General features: G+C 45.3%; 1 long non-coding RNA gene across 2 annotated transcripts in view, besides 1 other annotated feature; it reads right to left on the reverse strand.

Moving 5' to 3' along the window:
• LOC107985634 (uncharacterized) overlaps positions 1–25,078 on the reverse strand; it is a 35,569-nt gene that overhangs the window by 9,556 nt on the left and 935 nt on the right. The window contains exons 1-2 of one of the 2 annotated variants that reach the window (XR_001755796.1): positions 21,187–21,245; positions 20,997–21,088 (exon numbers count right to left, since the gene is read on the reverse strand). This is a non-coding gene — a long non-coding RNA (uncharacterized LOC107985634). Of the gene's footprint in view, positions 1–20,996; positions 21,089–21,186; positions 21,246–25,078 lie in introns of those variants that run through there. The other variant, XR_001755795.1, reaches the window with a different exon arrangement.
• Positions 22,737–22,937: a silencer, noted in NCBI's record as "peak7356 fragment used in MPRA reporter construct". NCBI's record gives its function as "represses an SCP1 promoter by STARR-seq MPRAs in K562 erythroleukemia cells {active_cell/tissue: K562}" and the evidence as "EXISTENCE:reporter gene assay evidence [ECO:0000049][PMID:32103011]".

The following is a 25,078-nucleotide window of genomic DNA, read 5'->3' on the forward strand; positions in this document are numbered from 1 at the left end:
GAGGGTTTTTCTGGCCTAACTACCCCAGTTTGCCTTGACCCATCCCCTCAATTTGGATACTATGAGTTAAAAAAAAAATTAATCGTCTTTTTTTTTTTTTTTAAAGACAGGGTCTCACTTCACTGCCCAGGCTGAAGTACAGTGGCACAATCACGGCTCGCTGCAGCTTCAACCTCCTGGGCCCAAGTGATCCTCCCACCTCAGCCTCCCAAGTAGCTAGGACTAAAGACACACTCCACCAAACTCAGCTAATTTTTAAAACTTTATAGAGAAGGGGTCTCACTTTGTTGCCCAATCTGGTCTTGAACTCCTGGCCTCAAGCAATCCTCCCACCTAGGCCTCCCAAAGCACTAGGATTACAGGCATGACCCACCACACCTGGCCCCTAATACAGTCTTTCTGTTATTATAGCTTAATATGCTCTCTGTTGATCCACGTGGCAAACTATGACTGCATTTCCTTTCTTGTACAACTCTGAGTATTTTCTGGGATTAATAACTGTCTCATGTAATTGCTTAGTTTTCTAGAGATGTTCTCTGATTTTTTTCCAAATGCTTTCCCCAAATGCTCACACACATTAAATAACCTAACTCGCCCATGTCTCCACCCAAACACTGCCACTGAGAGCCATGTGTCCTCCTGCTCTGCAATATACCAGTTTAGCTTTAAACCCAGCACACGGCTAGTGTCCTAAAATACCCCAACCTCTTTCCAGCATGGGACCTTGTCTCCTGGTTTCCTTGTCTTCCTCCCTTCCTGGTTTACTATTTTGTGTTGCTGAAATACATTCCCTAGTAGCTCCTACAGAGACGTGTACAGGAGAGATATATTTTTCATCCTTGCACATTTAACAACCTGTTAACTTTGCCCTCATCACTCTGCCCGAGTGAGTGCTCTCTGCACTGCACCCTCCTCAGAAATTTACCATTGCTCCACTTCCCCCGCAGTATTAGCCCTAAGGAACCTGCCGCCTTTGAACTGTCAGGTGTGGCCTGTTTGCCTCTGTAGAAACTTTTAGCCTAGTGCTGACCAAAGTCAATCGCAATTTTCTTTCTTTTTTTTTTTAACTTAAAATTTTTCTTTCATTTCCACGTTTCCCCAACTTATTTTTTCTTTGGGTGTGTGTGTGAAGCAGGATCTCACTCTGTCATCCAGGCTGGAGTGCAGTGATGCGATCACGGCTCACTGCAGCCTCCACATCCTGGGTTCAAGTGATCCTCCCACCTCAGTCTCCTGGGTAGTGGGGACTGCAGGTGCATGCCGCCACATCTAGCTAATTAAAAAACAATTTTTTTTTTGTTGCCCAGGCTGGTCTGAAATTCCTGGGCTTAAGTGATACTTTCCGATCAGCCTCCCAAAGTGCTGGGATTACAGACGTGAGCCACCGCACCTGTCCTCAATTTTTCTTTCTTTCTTTCTTTTTTTTTTTTTTTTTTGGAGACTGAGTCTCGCTTTGTCGCCCAGGCTGGAGTGCAGTGGCACGATCTAGGCTCACTGAAAGCTCTGCCTCCCGGGTTCACGCCATTCTCCTGCCTCAGCCTCCTGAGTAGCTGGGACTACAGGCGCCTGCCACCACGCCCGGCTAATTTTTTGTATTTTTTAGTAGAGACGGGGTTTCACCATGTTAGCCAGGATGGTCTCGATCTCCTGACCTTGTGATCTGCCCGCCTCGGCCTCCCAAAGTGCTGGGATTACAGGCGTGAGTCACCGCGCCCGGCCCCATCCTCAATTTTCTAATAGACATAATTTAAATGGTAAAAAGAAAGAAGTGGAATTCGTTTTAATAATGTATTTTATTTAATCCAGTATATTTAAAAATGCTATCATTTCAAGCTGCAATCAATATGAAAATTTTCGGTGAGACATTTTACTGTGCCTTTGTTATCATGAGTGTATTTCACACTCTCAGCACGTCTCAGTGTGGACCTGTCATGTGCTCAGAGCTCCACAGCCACTGGAGCCGACAGCCGCTACATGACTGTGTAGTTCTACAGCCTTCTGTCCATCCCTGGTGCTCTGGGGTGCCCACAGTGGTCCTCATTGGCATTTAATCTCTGTGCTTGTGCTTGTGCTGTGTCCCTCCAGAATCTTTCCAGAATCATGCCTCCTATGCCGTCATTGCTAAAGTCCCCCTCTGGGACCAGAGGTCCTCCTGGTGAGGCCACGGCTTCTGAACGCCATGGGCATTTGGGGTTCCCACACACCTTGTCACACCTAAAGCCACAAGAGTCCTGGTGCTCAAGTGCTCGAGTGCAGAAGAGGGACTTAAGGACTGCAGCCCGCCAACCTTCCCAGCAGGTGTCGGTCACACCAGGTCATGTCACTGCCGAGGATTTCTCAGGTCCCCAGGGCATGGCCTGAGATTCTTGGAATCCTGCAGGATTTCTTAGGGTTTCAACATTTCCTGCTAAAGAACCAACAATTCCTGGAAGGGGCGACGCTTCAGCCTTTATTGAGCAACGTGCAAAAAGAAAACTGGTGGGCCAGGTGCAGTGGCACATGCCTGTAATCCCAGCACTTTGGGAGGCCGAGGCGGGAGGACTGCTTGAGCGCTTAGAGTATGAGACCAGCGTGGGCAATATAGTGAGACCCTGTCTCTACAAAAATAAATAAATAAGAAGAAGACTGGCTTACAGCCAGCAGAGACGAGACCTTGCCTCAGTGGGCCTCAGGCGTGGGGAACTGGGCTCAGGCAGGGAGAGGGATTGGAGAGACAGAGGGTGAGGAGAGAGGAATACAGGGCACACCTTGTCTCTTTCCCATGTCGCTGAAGACATCAAGGACTCTCTCTCTCTCTCTCTCCTCATGCCCCTCCTTCCCTTCATCCCCCTCTCCCACCAACGTCTCTCTCTTCCAGGTTCCCAGGAGGCTTAAGGAGAATATAATCCCTTTACGTCTGCTTAGGAGGCAAAAGATTCCTCCCTCGTATTTGTCATCTTAAAACAACAGCCAAGAGCATGCCCCCTATGCATTTGTCAAATAGCGTTTGCCATCAGCTGGACACTTCCACACCCTTCTACAAGAATGACCTCATTGACTCCCCGTAACAACCCTAAAGAAGACATTGTTTCTGTCCCTATTTTACAGATGAGGAAACTGAGGCCCAGGGACGGTCAGGGGGTAGCCAGGTTGTGTCCCTGGGGGCGGTTCCAAACTTCATGCTCTCACCGTGAGTGGCAGCTTCCTGTCTCTGTGGGGTGCCTGCACAATTAGGGGCAGAGTCAGACATGTTTGGGCGTTTTGCCATGAAATGGTTTACTCTGAAATAAAGAAAGTCTGTGGGTGTTGGACTGAATTTTGCAGAGTGGATTTAAATCCAGACTTTCGCAGAGTGGATTTAAACCAGAGATTGAGAGCAAGTTCTTAGTTCTAAATGCTCCTGCCAGCTTCCATCCTGACCAGAAATGAAAGCCTGGTGCTGAGACCGGCCCCCAGCCCCCTGCCGTAATCACCCTGAGTCTAGTTCCCTTCACTCACCCCCACCCCGCCAGTACCCCCAGGGAAAGTCAGCCAAAGGCAGGAGAACATATCTAACCTCTGTCCAGTAACACCTTCAAATGTGAAACTCCCACTTAATTATGTTGCCATTACATTTTAGTCCATCCTGTCTTTCAACTGTGAACACATTTTATTTTTTCCTTCCTGCCTTACTCAACTTTCCTGCTTTCAGGGTTTGAATTTCAAACCTGTGCATGTTTCTTGCTAGGTGCCAGCAAGCTCATAACTAATGAGATCTAAGGAATTTGGACTCCACTAATTTGCATTACGGGATGGTTTTGACAGAAGCTGGCAATATCGAACCTTTGCTGCACGAAAAAAAGGCTTGCTAATCATTTTAATGGCGTAAACATGGCAGGTCATGGAGCCATGTGATTGTTTACATACATGTAAACAGTTCATGCTGTTTTCTACTTGCTCTTTTGTACACAGTATCTGCTCTTCGGTTTTCGGGACTCTCAGTGCAGCTACCTCATCCTTGGGTAACTTGAGTGTCCTTTTGCTTTTTGCTTTGTTGTTACATTTGCATTTGACCTGTTATTGTGTCCCAGAAAGCATCTTGCAGGCCACACCGACCCGAGAATGGGTAAATATGTTCTGTTTTCGTCTCTTAAAACCCTACGCGTCTGGCATTTCAGAAGCTGCGCGATGTTAGATCCTTTATGTAACAACCAACCCTAGGTGGAGAGACTGCTAAAACAGGAAAAAGGTTTTCTGAATCAATGAGCAAAACCTTGCTGTGAATTTCCTAAAGATGGCACAGACAGGATAAATACATACTCCCAACTTGGAAACAGGGACATTTGAGGCAAAGCCTCCAGCACTAGGAATACATATTCCAGTCAGAGAAAAAGAACTGGTAATTGCCAATCTGTACATGAGCTGTGAGGGGAGTCCCCATGCAATGACACTGCAATCACCTTTGAACTAACTGTCAGGAAATAAATAAATAACGGAATGTGGCTTTTGAGTTTTAGTATAATGTTTCAATAACCATCTACGAATAATTAGCTGATTCAGGACAAGTGTTTTCAAAAGTGTATTAAAATATAGCTCTGATCGGGCGGGGCATGGTGGCTCATGCCTGTAATCCCAGCACTTTGGGAGGCCGAGGCGGGCAGATCACGAGGTCAGGAGATCAAGACCATCCTGGCTAACATGGTGAAACCCCGTCTCTACTAAAAATACAAAAAATTAGCCGGGCGTGGTGGTGGGAGCCTGTAGTCCCAGCTACTCGGGAGGCTGAGGCAGGAGAATGGCATGAACCTGGGAGGTGGAGCTCACAGTGAGCTGATATCACGCCATTGCACTCCAGCCTGGGAAACAAAGCGAGACTCCGTCTCAAAAAAAAAAAAAAAAAAAATATATATATATATATATAGCTCTGATCAATTAATTGGCACAAATTCTCCTTCGACAAAGCTAATGAATCGTTTTTCATGCATTAGTAAATATTACATAACTAGAAATTGTGTCTTCCCTTACTGTGGTGCTGATATTGTTAGCATGCATCCAAAAATGTGACCTTGGATATTCCAGATATATTGTTGGATTCTAGCATAGTAATTATTATCTCATTTTACTGGGTTGTTTTTTTTTCCTCCAAGCTTCCCCCGAAAAGTGCTATACTAATTAGGAATTATTCTCATTTGTTCATTAAAGCAAGCCCTCAAAAGATATCCTTAAGATCATGATTTATTAACCGAAACCAGATTATTATATGTTCCCAGCTTAATAAAAGTATAATTAGGCCAGGCACAGTGGCTCACACCTGTAATCCCAACACTGTGAGAGGCCAAGGAGGGTGGATTGCTCAAGCCCAGGAGTTGGAGACCAGCCTGGGGAACACAGCAAAACCCCATCTCTACTAAAAATAAAAAAAAATTAGCTGAGCATGGTAGAGCACCTGTAGTCCCAGCTACTCAGGAGACTGAGGTGGGAGGATTGCTTGAGTCCAGGAGTTCGAGAACGGCATGGGCAACATAGCGAGACCCCCATCTCTTCAAAAAAATTTAAAAATTGGGCCAGGCAGCCCAGGTGGCTCATGCCTGTAATCCCAGCACTTTGGGAGGCTGAGGTAGGCAGATCACTTGAGGACAGGAGTTTGAGACTCTTCAAGGCTGCAGTGAGCTGTGATCATACCACTGCATTCCAGCCTGGGTGACACAGTAAGACCCTGTCGAAAAAAAAAAAGAAAAAAAAACACTACAATTTTTCTTTAAATATTTTATTTATTTATTTATTTATTGAGACAGGGTCTTGCTCTGTCACCCAGGCTGGAGCGCAGTGGTGCAATCACAGCTCACTGCAGCCTCGACCTCCCAGGACCAAGAGATCCTCCACCTCAGCCTCCTGTATAGCTAAGACTACAGCCATGTGCCACCACACTCAGCTAATTTTTTATTTATTTATTTATTTATTTTGTAGATACGGGGTCTTGCTATGTTGCCCATACTGGTCTCGAACTCCTGGGCTCAAGCAATCCTCCTGCTTCAGCCTCCCAAAGTGTTGGGATTACAGGTATGAACCATCACACCCAGCCATTCTCTATTTTTCTGAATTTTTTTATTGTGATAAAATATATATAACATAAAAATTGCCCTTTTGGCCATTTCTAAATGTTCTGTTCATGATGTTGATCACATTTATGATGTTGTACAATTATCACCACCACCTGTCTCCAGAACTTTCTCCTTTTCCCAAACTGAAACTCTGTCCCCGCTAAGCAATAACTCCTCATGCCTTCCTCCTGCAGCCTCTGGTAACCTCTAATGCATTTTCTGTCTCTGATTCTGCCCATTCTAGATATTTCATAGAAGTGCAATCATACGCTATCTGTCCTTTTGCATCTGGCTTATTTCATCTAACCCAATACTTTCAAAGTTCATCCATGTTGCAATATGACTCAGAACTTCATTCTTTTTTAAGGCTGAATAATATTCCATTGTATGGATATGCCACCTTTTGTTTATCCATTCACTTGGGCTGCTTCTACCTTTTGGCTATGGTAAACGACCCTGCGATGAACACTGGTGTGTAAGTATGTGTTTGGGTTCTTGCGTTCAATCCTGCAGTGTATACTACAAAGACGAATTGCTGGATCATTTGGTAATTCTACGTTTAACTCCTTGAGGAACTGCCCAGCTCTTTCAGCAGCTGCTGCACTGTGTTACATTGCAATTGGCCATGTGTGAGTGTTCCAATTTCTCCACATCCTCACCAACACTTGTTATTTTCTGTTGGTTGTTTGGTTGGTTGTTTAATTTTAGCCATCCTAGTAGGAATGAGCAACACTCACTCTTGATAGAAAAACACATTGAAGATCTAATTTTGGTGCTGCAGAGAACAGGGGGACTGGGTGATTAGGAAGCAAAAGAAGCCTCTGGGAAGGAGGAGTAGAGAAGTGAGGGGTTAGAAGGAAAATGACATGGGACAGGGATCATAAACTGTGCACTGGGTTTATGTTATCATTAGCCTTTCCAGAATATGGAGGCCTGGCCTATATCCCTCAATCAGGGTCTATATACCAACAGGAAGAAATGCACATGTGGATCTCTTTCACCTTACAATGCTCTGAGTAGAGCAAGATAACTCAGAGGGAAAAAGGCTATTTTCTGCTTAACTGACATTACTATCCGATAAGCCCTAGTCTCTGAGCAACACAGGGGGCCGTAAATTCATTAGGAATACTGTTCCTACAAACTTGTTCAACCTGTAGCCAGAAACATCCAAGTTTAAAAAAAAAAAATAGGTGTAGTATACTGCATAGCATGTTGTGTATCACATGTAGTCACCATTGAGGATATTTACCTAGTGGTCTTTTTCCTTTGTTACTACAATAGACAATTAAATGATAAACACTTTTATATCTTTAAGACATATAAATAGAAAAAAAATCAAGGGGATTTGGGTATTTTTCATTATATTTGTGTGTTTATGATAAAAAACACATAACTGGGCCAGACACAGTGGCCCATGCCTATATTCCCAGCACTTTGAGAGGCCGATCTGGGAAGATGGCTTGAGCTCAGGAGTTAGAGACAAGCCTAGGCAACATAGGGAGACCCCATCTCTACAAAACAACTTAAAAATTAGGTAAGCATGATGATGCATGCCTGTAGTCCCAGCTACCTGGGAGCCTGAGGTGGGAGGATTGCCTGAGTCCGGGAGTTCAAGACCAGCCTGGGCAAAATGGCAAAACTCCACCTTTACAAAAACTACAAAATTAGTCAGGTATGGTGGCACAGGCCTGTAATCCAAGCTACTCAGGAGGCTGAGGTGAGAGGATCACTTGAGTCCAGGAGGCTGAGGCTGCAGTGAGCTGTGATTGTGCCACTGCTCTCTAGCCTGGACAGAGCAAGACCCTGTCTTAAACAAACAAAAGTCACCCAGGGGGTAAACATCAGAGCCTGATCTTTAAAATGATATATTGTGTGGTTGAAATGTTAAAAACCAACCACACCAAGTGTTGGTGAGGATGTGGGGAAACTGGAAATCTCATACACAGTTAGTACAAATGTAAAATGATACAACCATTTTGTTGGTTTTTTTTTATCGCTTCACAAAGTTTGTTTCTGAAAGAGTTAAAACATATATCTATAATAGGATCCAGCCTTTCCAGTTATAGATACTTATCCAAGAGAAATAGCATAGTTCCATACAAAAACTGATAAGCAAATGCTCATAGCAGCTCTATTTGTAATAGCTGGAAACTGTAAAAACCATAAACAATCCAAATGTCCATCAATAGATGAACAGAGAAACAAACCATAATGCAACATACAGTGGAATACTACTCAGCAATAAAAAGGAATCGATGACCGATACATGAAACAGCATGAATGAATCTCAAAATTATCACCCTTAGTGAAAGAAAAAATCCAGACAAAAAAGAATACAGACTGTCTAACTCCATTCATATAAACTCAAGATAATGTGGCAGGAAGCAGACCAGTGGTTACTTGGGAATAGAAGAATGGGGAAGGGCTGGAGGGAGGGGTTACAAAGGGCTTGAGGAAATGTTTAGAAGTGATAAGAATAGTAATGGACAGAATCATGGTTCCCCAAAGACTTCCATGTCCTAATCCCCAGAACCTGTGAATATGTTACTTTACATGGCAAAGGGGAGTTAAGGATGTAGATGGAATTAAAGTTGCTAGCCGGCTGACTTTAAGATTATCTTAGATTATCCGGCTGGGACAATGTAATGACAAAACTCCTTAAAAACGGAAGAGGGAGGCAAAAGCATTCAGAGTCAGAAGGAAGTATGACTACAGAAGAATGGTGTGTTGGCCAATATTGAGTTACTGTAACAGAATACCTGAGGCTAGGTAATTTATAAAGAAAAGAGTTTCATTTGGCTCATGTTTCTGTGGCTGGAAATTCCAAAATTGGGCAACTGCATCTGGTGAGGGCCTCAGTCTGCTTCCACTCATGGTGGAAAACAGGAGAGTGGGTGTGTGCAAAGAGACCCCATCGTGAGAAAGGAAGCAAGAGAGAAACTGAGGAAGCCAGACTCTTTTTAACAACCTGCTCTCTCAGGAACTAATCCATTCCAGTGAGAGCAAGAACTCACTCACCCCTGAGGGACAGCATTAATCTATTCATGAGGGATCTTCCCCATGACCTAAACACCTCCCACTAGCCCCCACCTCCCACATAGCCACATTGAAAATCAACTCACAACATAAGTTTTGGACTGGAACAAACCATGTGTAAACCATAGCAAATGGTCAGAGAGACGCAACATTGCTGGCTTTGAAGATGGAGGAAGGGGCCATGAGCCAAGGAATACAAGAAACCTCTAGAAGCTGGAAAAGGCAAGGAAATAGATTATCCCCTAGAGTCTCCAGAAAGGAGTACAGCCCTGCTGATATCTTGATTTTGGCCCTCCAAGACCCCTTGCAGACTTCTGACCTTCAGAACTGTAAGATGATAAAATTGTGTTGTTTCAGCTGGGTGTGGTGGGATGCACATGTAATCCTAGCTACTAGGGAGGCTTCTTTAAGGCCAGGAGTTTAAGACCAACCTGGACAACATATCAAGACTATCTCTTAAAAAATAAAAACAATAGGCCAGGCAAGGTGGCTCACGCCTGTAATCTCAGCACTTTGGGAGGCCAAGGTGGGCGGATCACTTGAGGTCAGGAGTTCGAGACCAGCCTAGCCAACATAGTGGAAACTCATCTCCACTAAAAAAGCAAAAATTAGCAGGGCGTGGTGGTGGGCGCCTGTAATCCCAGCTACTTGGGAGGCTGAGGCAGGAGAATCGTTTGAACCTGGGAGGCGGAGGTTGCAGTGAGCCGAGATTGCGCCACTACACTCCAGCCTGGGCGACAAAGTGAGACTCTGTCTAAATAAATAAAAAATAAATTAAAAAAAAAAAAACAATTAACCAAACATGGTGGTGCACACCTGAGCCCAGGAATTTGAGGCTGTAGTGATTTCAGCGTGACCGACAGAGCAAGGCTCTGTCTAAAAAAAAAAAAAAAATTTATGTTGTTTTAAGCCACTAAGTTTGTGGTAATTTGTTAAAGCAGTCATAGGGAACTCATACTGCTCCACTCATTATTTCTAATGTGGTGATGGTTTCACAGATATATACATATAACAAAACTTATCAAATTATAATTGTCCATATGCATGGTTTATTTTATGTCAATGGATATCTCATTAAAGCTGTTTTTTTAAATTATGATTTTTTTTTTTTTTTTTGAGACAGAGTCTCATTCTGTCACCCAGGCTGAAGTCCAGTGGCACGAATTCAGCTCACTCAGCTCACCTCCGCCTCCCAGGTTCGGCTCATTGCAACCTCAGCGTCCTGAGTAACTGGGATTACGGTCATGTGCAACCACTCCCAGCTAATTTTTGTATTTTTAGTAGTGATGGGGTTTCACCATGTTGGCCAGGCTGGTCTCAAACTCCTGGCCTCAAGAGATCCACCTGCCTCGGCCTCCCAAAGTGTTGGGATTACAGGTGTGAGCCACCACGCCTGGTCTCAATAAAACTGTTCAAAAAACACTTTTTGTGGCCAGGCGCGGTGGCTCAGGCCTGTAATCCCAGCACTTTGGGAGGCCGAGGCAGGTGGATCACCTGAGGTCAGGAATTCGAGACCAGCCTGGCCAACATGGTGAAACCCTGTCTCTATTAAAAATACAAAAAATTAGACAGGCGTGGTGGTGACGCCTGTAATCTCAGCTACTTGGGAGGCTGAGGCAGGAGAATCACTTGAACCAGAGAGGCAGAAGTTGCAGTGAGCCGAGATTGTGCCACTGCACTCCAGCCTGGCCAACAAGAGCGAAAACTTTGTCTCAAAAAAAAACAAAACAAAACACTTTTTGCAAAACAGATCTTCTTTGTGATTTCTTTTTTCAATCATCACATGCAGAAATACATAGGAAAGTAGACTGGGCGCGGTGGCTCACGCCTGTAATCCCAACACTTTGGGAGGCCAAGGTGGGCGGATCACGAGGTCAGGAGATAGAGACCATCCTGGCTAACATGGTGAAACCCCATCTCTACTAAAAATACAAAAAAACAATTAGCCGGGAGTGGTGGTGGGCGCCTGTAGTCCCAGCTACTCAGGAGGCTGAGGCAGGAGAATGGCGTGAACCCAGGAGGCGGAGCTTGCAGTAAGCCGAGATCACTCCACTGCGCTCCAGCCTGGGCAACAGAGTGAGACTCCGTCTAAAAAAATAAAAAATAAATTTAAAAAAAAGAAATACATAGGAAGATCACCCATGTCAATTCAATGGACTTTATTATGAACTGTATGCATTACATATCACTATATCTCTCATAAGTCTATAAGCTTTACTGTCACTTGTACCTGAGGGATATTATAGGCTGGCTCAATATGTTTGACATTGGATTACTTACAAGAAATTAATCTAGCTTAATAACATAAATATTCATCTGTAATTTTTCTCTCTTCTTTGGTATTAAAATAACTAAGTTATTAAATTATATCACAAACTGAACTAAAAATTATCATAAAGGTTATAACTAAAACCAAAGATTATCAACCACACTAAAAATCTAAGTGCACTTACAGTATAAACAAGAGCTCTTCACAGTGAAAGAATTATTTCTGTGTGTACTCATGTTCATTACAGATATACTTCATTAGAGTAAAGTGGAGATCTACCTATAATAAATTGTTAGCTGTGTAAATACAGCCTTTGAATTAAGAGTCAAAGAAGTAGGCAGATCCCAATTCAGTCCTGGTGTATCAGGTAGGGTCTCTGCAGGAAGCAGATGGCATACACAGAAGGGTTAAGTAAAGACAGTTAAATGCAGAAGCTATTTACAGAGAAAGGTGGATAGAGTTAAGGGAACCCAACTAGAAGCTGGAGGGGAAGGGAGCTAGGTGTGGAAGACTGTACTGTTTCTTCTCAATTGACCCATTCCTCCCAGCCAATGTCACGTGCTCCTGTAGGCAGAATATACTTCCTTGCCCCTTTGACCTTGAGCTTAGCCATATGACTTGCTTTGGTCAATGGAATGCAAGCAGATGTGACAAACACCACTTTTTATTTTTATTTTTATTTTTTTTTTTGAGACGGAGTCTCTTTCTGTTGCCCAGGCTGGAGTGCAGTGGCGTGATCTCGGCTCACTGCAAGCTCCGCCTCCTGGGTTCATGCCATTCTCCTGCCTCAGCCTCCCGAGTAGCTGGGACTACAGGCACCCGCCACCATGCCCGGCTAATTTTTTGTATTTTTAGTAGAGATGGGGTTTCACGGTGTTAGCCAGGATGGTCTCGATCTCCTGACCTCGTGATCTGCCCACCTCGGCCTCCCAAAGTGTTGGGATTACAGGCGTAAGCCACCGCGCCCGGCCGACAAACACTACTTCTAACAGAACTTGAAATGCACTGGTGTGGTTGGCATGCACTTGAGTGTCTGCTTTTGGCCTTGAGAAGAGCAGGTGCCAGATAGGATCTGGCTCCAGATATGGGAAGAGTGCATGGAACTGAGCCAAGTCTAGTCTGTTAGAACTCAGCAAAGGCAAAGCTGATGCACAGCCTGCATGCCTTATGAACAAGAACTAAATGTTTCCTGCAGAAGCAAAAGCACACCGGACAAACCGGATGGTACAGCCTGCAGGGACCAGCCTCCATGACACAGCAGGGCAAAGAAGAGCCGAGAACGGATGTGGGGGCAAACTGAGAAGAGCCACACAGGAGAGCATGGAGGGAGAAATGCAGGGAGATTCATTTCCATGAAGGGCTGAGGACAAGAGACTTCAAGCTGTGTGGCTAAGAGGCAAACACCACAAGCTGAATGAGGGGAAAGGAGTGAAGAGAGGGCTCTGAACAGAGAGAGCATCATGCTGACACTCAAATTTGTCTCCTAACCAGGTTTTTCACTGGATCCATATTCTGGTGCCATAACAAAAGGAGAAATAACAAGGGATCACATGAAGGACTCAGAAATATTCTGGGATACATTGCCAAGCCAGGGCAATGTGGTCCCCTTTTAGCAGGCCACACATACAAGACCACCCTCAGCTTTGACTTGTGAGGGCTTGCAGTATAGCTGGGGTAGTGCCCAAGGAGGCGGGCAGAACAGTGGTGCCCTGCATGTTACAGTGGTGCCCCCCAGGAGGTCTGTCCTTACAAGCCTGAGGACATTCCTCAACCCTCTGTGAATTTCTTAAAGTCAGGAACCCACCCTCGCACTCTGCAGATATGCGTAGTGCACACTTTAATAAATATGCACCAGTAAATACTTCCAGCTGTGCATGTGTGTGCAAGTGGCTCCTCCCCCAAGAGATGCAATAAATACATGAAATACGGGGCTGGGGGGGCGGGGGTGAGAATGCAGGATGACTGGGGCCTTTTCCAGGCAAAGTCATTTACCCATCACCTTGTTGGAGTGTCTGCACAGTTTATGCTGGACAGTGGCAAGAAAATGGATTTTCTCATTTGTCTTGGTGGCAGTCTGACCTCATCTTTGTTTTTTCTTTGAGATAAAATCTAACGAGAAATTTGATTTTCTAACATTTTAAATTAGGATCCTATATGGGAGAAATACAGAGTCTTAAACAGGAGGACCTAGACTAACACACAGAGTAAGGGAAGGCATTGCTGGAGAAGAAATATACACATAGATAGGTAGATAGATAGATAGATAGATAGATAGATAGATAGATAGATAGATAGATAATAGAAAGACAGAGACAGAGACAGAGAGAAAGAGAGAGAGAGGTGGTCTTGTTCTATTGCCCAGGCTGCAGTGAAGTGGTGTAATCATAACTCAAGGCAGCTTTGAACTCCTAGGTTCAAGCAATCCTCTCACCTTGGCCTCCCGAGTAGCTGGGACTACAGGTGCATGTCACCACACCTGGCTAATTTTCTTTTTTTAGAGATAGGATCTTGCTATGTTGCCCAGACTGGTCTCAAACTCCTGGGCTCAAGTGATCCTGCTGCCTGGGCCTCTCAAATTGCTGGAATTACAGCCATGAGCCACCACGCCCAGCCAGGGGAAGCAATAGCAAAGGTGAGATTTAACAGGTTGACACATGCAAACAGGGCATGGGAAAAGCATTGTAGGCAGGAGTAAACAAGTATATGTAATTCCTGAGAGAAAATGGAGAAAGGTTCCCAACCTCAGACGGTAAAGGGACTCAGGAGAAATGTCCTGTGAGGCCATTTCATCATGTCACACGTGGACTGCGCCCACCAAGAAGTGAGGGGGAAAGTAGGCACTGCCCTCAAAATCAGAGAATCCTGCAGAACCTGATGACACGCTCTGAGCTTTAAAAACAAGTGCAGCCTGGGTCCCACCCCCAGCAACATTAATTTGATTCATTGTCCTGGGATGGGGCCTAGGCTTTTGGGAATTTTTTTTTTTTTTTTGACGGAGTTTTTTGCTCTTGTTGCCCAGGCTGGAATGCAATGGTGTGATCTCGGCTCACTGCAACCTCCGCCTCCCGGGTTCAAACGATTCTCCTGCCTCAACCGCCTGAGTAGCTGGGATTACAGGCATAAGCCACCATGCCCGGCTAATTTTGTATTTTTAGTAAAGACGGGTTTCACCATGTTGGTCAGGCTGGTCTCAAACTCCTGATCTCAGGTGATCCGCCCACCTCGGCCTCCCAAAGTGCTGGGATTACAGGCGTGAGCCACCGCGCCCGGCTGGGCTTTTGGGATTTTTAAAAGCTCTTCAAGCACTTTCAATGTATAGCCGACGTTGAGAATGGCTGATCTAAAGCCGTGGTTCTCGGCCGGGCATGGTGGCTCACGCCTGTAATCCCAACACTTTGGGAGGCTGAGGTGGACAGATCGGTTGAGCCTAAGAGTTCAAGACCGGCCTGGCCAACATGGCGATACCCCGTCTCTACAAAATATACAAAAATTAGCCTGGTGCGGTGGCACAGGCCTGTAGCCCCAGCTACCAAGGAGATGAGGTTGCGGTGAGTCGAGGTGCCACTGCCTGGACAACAGAGTGAGACTCTGTCTCAAAAAAATAAATAAATAAATAAAGCCATGGTTCTCAAACTTCAGCATGCATCAGTAGCAACTGGAGGGCTTGTTACAATATGAATGGTGGGGACCCACTCCCAGAATTCCTGTGCAGTTCTAACAGTTTCTCAGGTGCTGCTAGGGCTGCTGATCCCAGGATCACAGTGTGAGAACCATTCAAAGAAGCGAGGCAGGAGATGTTTGAGAAAGATCCAGCTGTAGGAGTCAGGGGGCAGGGCCTACACGTAGATAAAAGGTGGTAATTCTGGGAAACTTGCAGGATTAGGGGTAAGGAGGGCAGCGGCAGGGAAGAATTCAATATGGCACTAGAGGGTAGGCACCCCTGGAGTGTGTATACCCTAGCAACTGGAAGCCATTCTTGGTAGGGCGAGGTGGCTCATGTCTGTAATCCCAGTGCTTTGGGGGGCTGAGGAGGGAGGATTGCTCGAGCCCAGGAGTTTGAGGCTGCAGTGAGTTATGACTGCACCACTGCCCTCCAGTTTCAGTGACAGGAAGGAAGGAAGGGAGGGAGGAAGAGGAAGGGAAGATGGGAGGGGTGGGTCATTTTTGCCAGAAGTCCAAGCAAGTAGCCAGGGACAGAGACACCCATCTGAAAGAAGATCCATCCTTGGGCTGTGTCCCCATCCCTGGAGGCCAGAGACAAGCCTGTCCCTGAAAGACAACGACACAGAGAACCCAGCATGGATCCAGTCATTGGGCAGGGGCAGAAGAAGCGGACGAGGCATCAGGAAGAAGGAGAGGCAGAGCTGGTGGAACCCCGCTGGCAGGCAGATGTTGGGGCCAGCAGGAAAGGAGCTGTAAAGTTTAGAGTCCCCAAAACTCATTGAGGGGAATTCCAATCACCATCCATTGAGACTTTGATTAGGGGCTCAGGAGTCGGCATAATTAACCCATCTGCCCCTCCTCTTCCAGTCTAGGTGGTCTAGATTTGATAACACTGCTGGGGGAGGGGATGCAAAGGGGGGCAATGTGGAGGTGAAAGCAATGTGGTGGGAGGGATCTGGAAAGAGTAAGTGTGTGGGCAGAATGCTACTACAGCCCAAAGGTGCTCACGCCGGTGTATACGCCCCATATAATCCCCTCCACTTGAGTGTGGGCAGGACCCGTGACCATTACGAGATGCCATTCCCATCATTAGGGGACTGATTGGTTGCCTCTGAGTCAACCAAACAGGAGATTATCCTGGGTGAGTCTGACCTAATCAAGTGAGCCCTTAAAAAACACAGAGACTTTTCCGTTGGCTTCAGAGATGAAGCAAACAGCCACAGTGTGAACTGTTTGTGGGAAGGAACAGCCTCTAGGAGAGGAGGGGCCACAGCCCTACAACCACAAAAAACTGAATTCTGCCAAAATTCAATGAGCTGGAAAAAGAACTCCAAGCCTGGGATGAGATCCAGACCCAACTGACACCTTGATTTCATCCTGGTGAACCCTGAGCAGAGGATCTGGTTGTGCTGTGCCCAGAATTCTGACCAAGGTAAAGTATAAGGTAGTAAATGTGTGAAGCTTCTAAGTTCATATATAATATATATTATATATCATAGTCATATGTATATGATTTATTATTTGTTATAAGGAATTGGCTCACGTGATTATAGAGGCCGAGAAATCCTAAGAACTGCAGTTGGCAAGATGGAGACCCAGGAGAGCCAACAGTATAAGTTCTAGGTGAGTCCAAAGTCCTGAGAACCAGGAGAACCAATGGCGTTAAGTTCCAGTTGGAAAGTCAGCAGGCTGCTGATGTTTCAGCTCAATTCCAAAGGCAGGAAGACTGATGTCAGCTCAAGCAGTCAGGCAGCAGGAGCTCCCTCTTACTCAGCCTTTGTGTTCTATTTAAGGCTTCAACTGATTGGACAAGGCCCACCTGTACTGGGAGGGTAATCTGCTTCACTCAGTGTACAGTGCAAATGTGATCTCATCCAAAATCACCCTCACACACACCCAGAATGTCTGACAAAATGTCTGGGCACCCTGTGGCCCAGTCAAATGGACAAATAACATTAACTGTCACACCAGTCCACCAAGGAAAACTTCCTCAGTCTGTCACCATTTTAATATATTTTTACAAACTTTTATTTATTTATTTATTTATTTATTTTGAGATGGAGTTTCACTCTTGTTGCCCAGGCTGGAGTACAATGGCATGATCTTGGCTCACCACAACCTCCGCCTCCAGGGTTCAAGTGATTCTCCTGCCTCAGCCTCCCGAGTAGCTGGGATTACAGGCATGCACCACCACATCCGGCTAATTTTGTGTTTTTGGTAGAGACAGGGTTTCTCCATGTTGGTCAGGCTGGTCTCGAACTTGTGACCTCAGGTGATCCGCCCACCTCGGCCTCCCAAAATGCTAGGATTACAGGCGTGAGCCACCACACCCGGCCTTTTACAAACTTTTAAAACTTGCTAGCATGTGGAAGATGGACGCCCACTGTCTGACTACATCCAGAAAGAGTCCAGTCTGCCTTTGGTCCTGTGCTTGAGGGGAGGTATCTAAGTTTCCTCTTTCTTTTAAGCTGTTGACAAATCTCATTGCACTTTTTTTTCAGTAAAGTTGTGGCATACCCCCATCCCCGAAAAAAACTGCTAGCATGAAAAGAACAGTTGGGCCATACTCCCTTTATAGTTTTTTTGGGGGGCTTTTTGGTTGTTTTTGAGATAGGATCTCACTCTGTCACCCAGGCTGGAGTGCAGTGGTGCAATCAGAGCTTACTGCAGCCTCGACCTCCTGGGCTCAAGTGATTCTCCCATCTCAGTCTCCTGAGTAACTGGAACCACAGGCATGCACCACCACTTGGGACCACAGGCATGCACCACCACTCCTGGCTAATTTTTGTAGACCATGTTGCCCAGGCTAGTCTTGAACTCCTAGTCTCAAGGGATCCTCCCATCTCAGCCTCTCAAAGTGCTGGGATTATAGGCATGAGCCACTGCGCCCAGCCTGGAGAGTGATCTTGGATGAGATTCACATTTGCACTGTAGAGTGAGTGAAGCAAATTGCCCTCTCTACTGTGAGTAGGACTCGTCCCATCAGCTGAAGGTTACTGAAAGCCAGATACTCCTGGCCTCTAACGATCCGCCTGCCTCCACCCCACAAAGTGCTGGGATTACAGGCATGAGCTACCACACCTGGACACTTTGTAGTTATTTGTGTGACTTCAATGAAGCGGGGATTGGCCAAAGAGAACTCAGTGTCCTGGAGGAAGGCCTTTAATATTACTTTCTAGCATAATGAAGTGGCTGTTTTATTTTAAGAGTTATGAAGTTCACTGCAAGGTTTTCAGGTACCTGAATTCCAACCCCAGACTTCTGGGGCCCCCTGCACTCCCTGAGATCGGGGAAGCACAGCAGCTCCTTATTCCAAGGAAGGGCAGGGTCCCTGCTCTGAGAGCCCCCAGGCACCTCTGCCCACCCGTTACAGCACTCATTATAGTCTGATGTAGGGTGGGCTTATGTCCTTCCATAGGCTTCATGCTTTTCCAGGGCAGGAGTCATGTCTTCAGTGTTCTGGGTTTTCCTGAGCACTTAGCAGTGGGCACTTGCAATCCTCCAATGTTGGTTAAGTGCATGCACTATTAATAGCATTCCATCCACGCCAGGCGCGGTGGCTCATACCTGTAATCCCAACACTTTGGGAGGCCGAGACAGGCAGATCACTTGAGGTCAGGAGTTCAAGACCAGCCTGACCAACATGGTGAAACTCTGTCTCTACTAAAAATACAAAAATTAGCTACTCGGAAGGCTGAGGCACAAGAATCGCTTGAACCCGGGAGGTGGAGGTTACAGTGAGCCGAGATCACACCACTGCAGTCCAGCTCTGGGCGACAGAGTGAGACTCTGTCTAAAAAAACAAAAAACAAAAAAAAAAAAAAAACAAGCATTCCAATAGCAACTTTCCATTGCACAGCAATTCATTCTCCAAGTGTGTTCCTCGGACAAACATTCACATCTGCTGGGAACTTGTTAGAAATGCAGATATGGCCAGGCGCAGTGGTTCACGCCTGTAATCCCAGCACTTTGGGAGGCCGAGGCAGGCAGATCACTTGAGCCCAGGAGTTCCAGACCAGCCTGGCCAACATAGTGAAACCCCATCTCTACAAAAAAATACAAAAATTAGCTGGGTGTGGCATGTGCCTGTCGTCCCAGCTACTCGGGAGGCTGAGGCAGGAGAATCGCTTGAATCCGGGAGGCGGAGGTTGCAGTGAGCTGAATCACGCCACTGCACTCCAGCCTGGTGACAGAGCAAGACTCTGTCTCAAAAAAAAAAAAAAAAAAAAAAACGGATACTTGGGCCTCCCTCACACCTGCTAAATCAGAAGCTCAATGACTGGGGCCCAGCCATCTGGGTTCCATAACCCCTCTGGAAGGTTCTGATGTGTGTGCAAGTCAGAGAGTCACTGCTCTAGCCTAATGGTTTGTATTTTGGGTCAATCAGCCCCTTCATAATTCTCAGGTCTCTTCCCCCCAATTTCTTGGTAGTTGTTTTATTTCGTATTTTGCACTGAATTCTGCAAAGTCATCTAAGTAATATTGTGCCTGCTCACACTTGTACTAATTGAGATCCATGTTTCAGTGAATCATCATAGCTTCAATGTGTTGAGCAAATACTGTATACCAAGCCTAGTATTGAATACAGAAATTACCTTGCCCTCAAATCCACCCTGTGAGAGAGGTAATGCTAGCCCCAGTTCTCAGAGGCAGAATCTGAACACAGCTGTTTAAGTGACGTGTGTATGTTCCCATAGCAGGTCATGCTGCACTTGCAACTCAAAATCACCCTCACACAAACCCAGAATGTCTGACCAAATGTCTGAGCACCCCATGACCTAGTCAAGTGGATAAATAACATTAACCATCACACCAGTCCACCAAGGGAAAACATCCTCAGTCTGTCACCATTTTAATATATTTTTACAAACTTTTAAAAATTGCTAGGAGGTGGAAGATGGACACACCCTGTCTGACTACAATATCCAGAAAGAGTCCAGTCTGCCTTTGGTCCTGTGCTTGAGGGAAGGTATCTAAGTTTCGTCTTTCTTTTAAGCTGTTGACAAATCTCATTGCACTTTTTTTCAATAAAGTTGTGAGATTCCCCCCGCCCCCCAACAAAAAGTTGCTAGCATGAAAGAACAGTTAGGACACATTCCCTTTGTATTTTTGGGGGGGTTGTTTGTTTGAGACAGGATCTCACTCTCTCACCCAGGCTGGAGTGTCTTGCTTCAAAGTTGGTGTTTGTGACCCCAGACTAAATAGTCTTGGAACCTTAGACTCTGTCTTACAATAGGCACCAATCTTTTAGGGCATCCAAGTATTTTGCAACAAAAAGCAGCTTGATGGAGCTAGCACGAAGTGCCACCAGTCAAGCTTGCAAGAGCAACAAATGGGTTCTTCTTGCTGAATTGTTTAACCACGAAATGTGTTTGTCCTGCAGGCTTATTAGCAAAGCGTACTCTTTTGTTCTGGGGGAAGACCCACGCCTCTTTAAGGAACAGAGCAGACCATGCCAAAAGCACTTCAAGGCCTTCCTTATCGCTGTCAATCTGGCACCCTGTGAAAGCTGCGGGGCCTTTCTACTCTGCTCCAAGCTCCCTGCTCCATCCAGCTGGTCCTGGAATCAGCTTTCTCTGCCTGCCTTCATGTCACCCTCTCCCACCTGAACTCCCTCCCCGGAGCCTTCCAAGCCCACCCTTCTCTTCCACTCTAACCTCCACAGCATTTCAGGCACTCATTGACCATCTCTCTGACATTGGGTGTGGCACCATGATCATGTTTGGGGGTCCCTAAGCAAACCCTGACACATACATGGGCCATTCTGCCTCCTGCCTCCTAGTCCCCAATGATAGACATTGTCACCTAATGCCTGAGCACCATGAAAACTGAGGGAAAGAGGAAGAACTGCATCTTCCTCCTCCTCAGAGGTCTCCGCTGGGGACTGGCTGATTCCTTTAGGGCCTTAAAACATTTCCATTTGCAGAATGCCCCTAATAAAATGGAGAAGTAAAGCTATAAATCCTTACCGTATTATTTTCAGAGCAAGAAAGATGGTTACAGATGGGTGGCAGATGGGTAGCGATGGATGGAATCAGTCGATGGATAGTAAGAATAGGTCCTGTAGAAATAAAACACAAGCATTTGTGTATTAATTACTGTATTAAGTCTGTTTAGACTGCTATGACAAAGTAGCATAGACAGGGTGGCTTAACCAACATCGATTTATTATCCAACAGTCCTGGAGGCCGGAAGTCCAAGATCAAGGTGTGAGCACGGCTGGTTCCTACTGGGACCTCTCCTTGGCCTGTAGATGCTGTCTTCTCCCTGTGTCCTCACATGGTGGTCCCTCTATGTGCATCTGTGTCCTCATCTACTATTCTTATAAGAATTCTAGTCGTATTGGTTTAGGGCCCACCCTAGTGATTTCATTTTATCTTAATTGCCTCTTTGGAGATCCTATTTCCAAATACATTCACATTCTGAAGTACCAGGGCTTAGGGCTTCAACATATGCATTTGTGGGGGGAGCATAATTCAGTCCATAACACTTGCCCATTGCTGAGTAACAAACTGCCACAAATGCAGTGGCTTAAAATAACACACGTTTGTTATCTCAGAATCTCCATGGGTTGGGAATTTGAGCTCAGCTTAACTGTGCCTTTTGCTCAGGGTTTCACAAGGCTGTAGTCAATGTGTCAGCAGAACTGCATTCTCATCTAGAGGCTTGGATGGAAAAGAATCCACCATCAAGATCCCTCAGGCTGGGTGTGGTGACTCATGCCTGTAATCCCAACACTTTGGGAGGTTGAGGCAGGATAATCCCTTGAGCCCATGAGTTTGCGACCAGCCTGGGCAACATAGTGAGACCCCATCCCTAGAAAAAATTTAAAAATTTGAAAAATTAGCCAGGTATGGTGATGTACACCTGTAATCCAAGCTACTCAGGAGGCTATGGTGGGAGGATCACTTGGGCCCTGGAGGTCGAGGCTGCAGTAAGCTGTAACTGCACCACTGCAGTCCTGCTTGGATAACAGAGTAAGACTCTGTCTCCAAAAAAAAAATGGTTTCATGACTCAGGGCACTGGCTTCTTGCAGGCTGCTGGCTGGGGGGCGGTCCTGGGGGGGCTGCCCTTGGTTCCTTGCCCCATGGCTGCTTGCTTCTTCAAGACTGTGCATCAGGGAACCTCGTCACTGGTGTGGCATCCCATCTCCTCTGCCATATTCTCCTGGTTAGAAGCAAAACAGGCTGGGCACGGTGGCTCACGCCTGTGATCCCAGCACTTTGGGAGGCCAAGGTGGGTGGATCACTTGAGGTCAGGAGTTCGAGACCAGCCTGGCCAACATGGTGAAACCCTGTCTCTACTAAAAATACAAAAAAATTAGCCGAGCGTGGTGGCACACGCCTTTAGTCCCAGCTACTTGGGAGGCTGAGGCAGGAGAATCGCTTGAACCCAGGAGGCAGAGGCTGCAGTGAGCAGAGATCACTCCACTGCACTCCAGACTGGGTGAGACGGAGCAAGACTCTGTCAAAAAAAAAAAAAAAAAAAAGAAGCAAAACATACGTCCTACCCACACTTAAGAGGCCAGAAGGCCAGAATCCCACAAAAGAACAGGGATCATGAAGACCCCCCCACCTCCCCCCGCCCCGCCAAAAGCAAAGTTTGTTCCACACACCTTGAGGGTGGGAGAAATGAGAGAAAAAATAGTAATAGAAAGCCAGCAGCACAGGGTAAATTTTGCCCCTTCACAAGTTTGCCTGAGGTTGGGCCACATTCACTCACCCAATCCCCAAAGTTATCTTTTAGACCATCCACCCCAACAACCTGGAGCAGTCACTGTTTTGCAAGAGCTTTAGATGAAGACTGTAATGAAACAAGATCAAGGGAAAGACTGGTTTTAAGTATCACTTACTCATCTTCCTCCACCTGCAATTTTCAGCCCCAAAATAACTTGGAGGAAAAAAAAAACCCCTGGATTATTTACATTTGCTCTCTATTTTTAACCACTCTTCTGTTTAAAACATTTAATATCTTCTGAAGCCCCATTAGAGCCTATTTAACCTGTAGCAAGATATCGTATTTATTTTTGCAGCTATTTTCATCTGCTTAGGGAACTTTTTGTTTTCATCTGAGCTTTCAGAAGGAAGTTAAGCAAGGTCAACAGGCCTGGCTGACTTGTCAACTGGTTGTGCTGGGTTCTTAATCATAAAATGGAGCTAAATTCAGAGCAACTTATCATGCATCTCTTTTTATGTGGCTCAGTTTTTCCATTACTTGAAGTTCCCAAACATTAATAAACCTAAATGCACTATTTTTGGTGGGAATGAATGCATTATGCTTTTCAGAGTTGATGTTTTTTACATAACTAAATCATGTTGGCAAGAGGGAGGAGAAACCACCCTTTGTAGGGCATATAGCGATTGGATTTTTTCCTACTGATCTGGAGCTGTTGAAGCAGGGAATGGGGGAGGGGGAAGAAAGGGGAATTCGGCACAGGGAAAATACACCCACAGATTCTGTTCACTATTTTTACTTGATATTTTTTGTGCTACAGGTTGCTTTTGCAACCACTAAGCAAACATTTTCAAGAGGCTTTAATGAAAAAGATGTGTTTGGAAGAAAGCAAAATGACTCCACAAGACTCTAACAGAAAATACACTTGTAATTCTTTGAGCTGTAGTTAGGATAAACATTTGATCCTAGAGACAATCTAGTCACGTGAAACCAAAAGCCTGTAGTCTCAGCTACTAGGGAGGCTGAGGCAGAAGTATCACTTGAACCTGGGAAGCAGAGGTTGCAGTGAGCCGAGATTGTGCCACTGCACTCCAGCTTGGGCGACAGAGCAAGACTCCGTCTCAAAAATAAATAAATAAATAAAATAAAGACAAAAATCCAACCTAGCCCAAGGCTGGTGCAGTAGACACTGCAACAGAATATAAAATGAGTGATTAAAACTCAACAAGAACCATTCAGGAGACCCATGAGCTGGAATATTCTGTTTTACCCTCTTCCTTCTCTTCCCCACCCCACCACACCTTTGCCCTCCAAGGGTTATTTTTGCTGCACGTTACTTTATTCTTTTTCAACCAGCTTTGGCACAAAAATGTAGTGCTTAAGTGTTTAATATTATATTATTCATATTTCCCTCTTGATGTGTTCTAATTCCACCCTTCAATGTTGGACAAAGACATACAAATTGTATTTCTACACTTTGATTTTGCTTGACAGGTTCTTGTAGCTAACAGCCACTGACCATTTCTGTAGATGGTAGAATCCATAGATCGATACAGCTTTCAATATGTTCCAAATCTGGTATTGCTTATCCTTTTTCTGTGAGCTAAGCTGTTATCATTTACTGTCTCTATGAAGGAAGAAAACAGTTATTTGCCCAATGAAGCACAAGCAATCAACATTCTGGTTTCAATATAGATGGCTGAGGAATCAGTGCTGGGAAATGTGTGAGGGGACTGAACCTACACTAATATGTATATTTGCAGTAGGTTCTGATTTCAGGTGTTCCTTTTTGCTACTTCTGAAATAAAAACTTGGCCAAACATCAAGTAGAAGGGTCTTTTGTGCTTCTGCAGTCCAGTGGGGAAATGGTTTCTGGTTACTTTTTCATGTATTAAATTAATTTTATTTTGAAAAAAGTTTTACGAAAGTTTTTCCTGTGTTTTTTTTTAGTTGTGATGAAATTCACATAACTAAATTAGCCACTTTAATGTGTTCAATTCAGTGGCATTTAGCACATTTACGGACTTGTGCAACTTTCACTTCCGTCTAGAGCCAAAACATTTTCACCAGCCTCCCAAAAAGCCCCATACCCATTCAATAGTCACTCCCCATCCTATCGCCTTCTTCCAGCCCCTGGTAACCACTAATCTACTTTCTGTCTCTATGGATTTACCTATTCTGGACATTTCATATGAATGAAATCATGTGATATGTGATCTTTTGTGTCTGGCTTCTTTCACTCGGCATAATGCTTTTGAGGTTCTTCCACATTATAGCATGTGTCAGTAATTCATTAAATTTATTTTTAAATGAAAATAATATTTAAGGGCATTTTCCTGTGTTCAACTATTTATTGATCACCTGTGTGCAAGGCAC

The sequence above is a fragment of the Homo sapiens genome, chromosome X (assembly GCF_000001405.40).
Source record: "Homo sapiens chromosome X, GRCh38.p14 Primary Assembly".
NCBI lineage: Eukaryota > Metazoa > Chordata > Mammalia > Primates > Hominidae > Homo > Homo sapiens.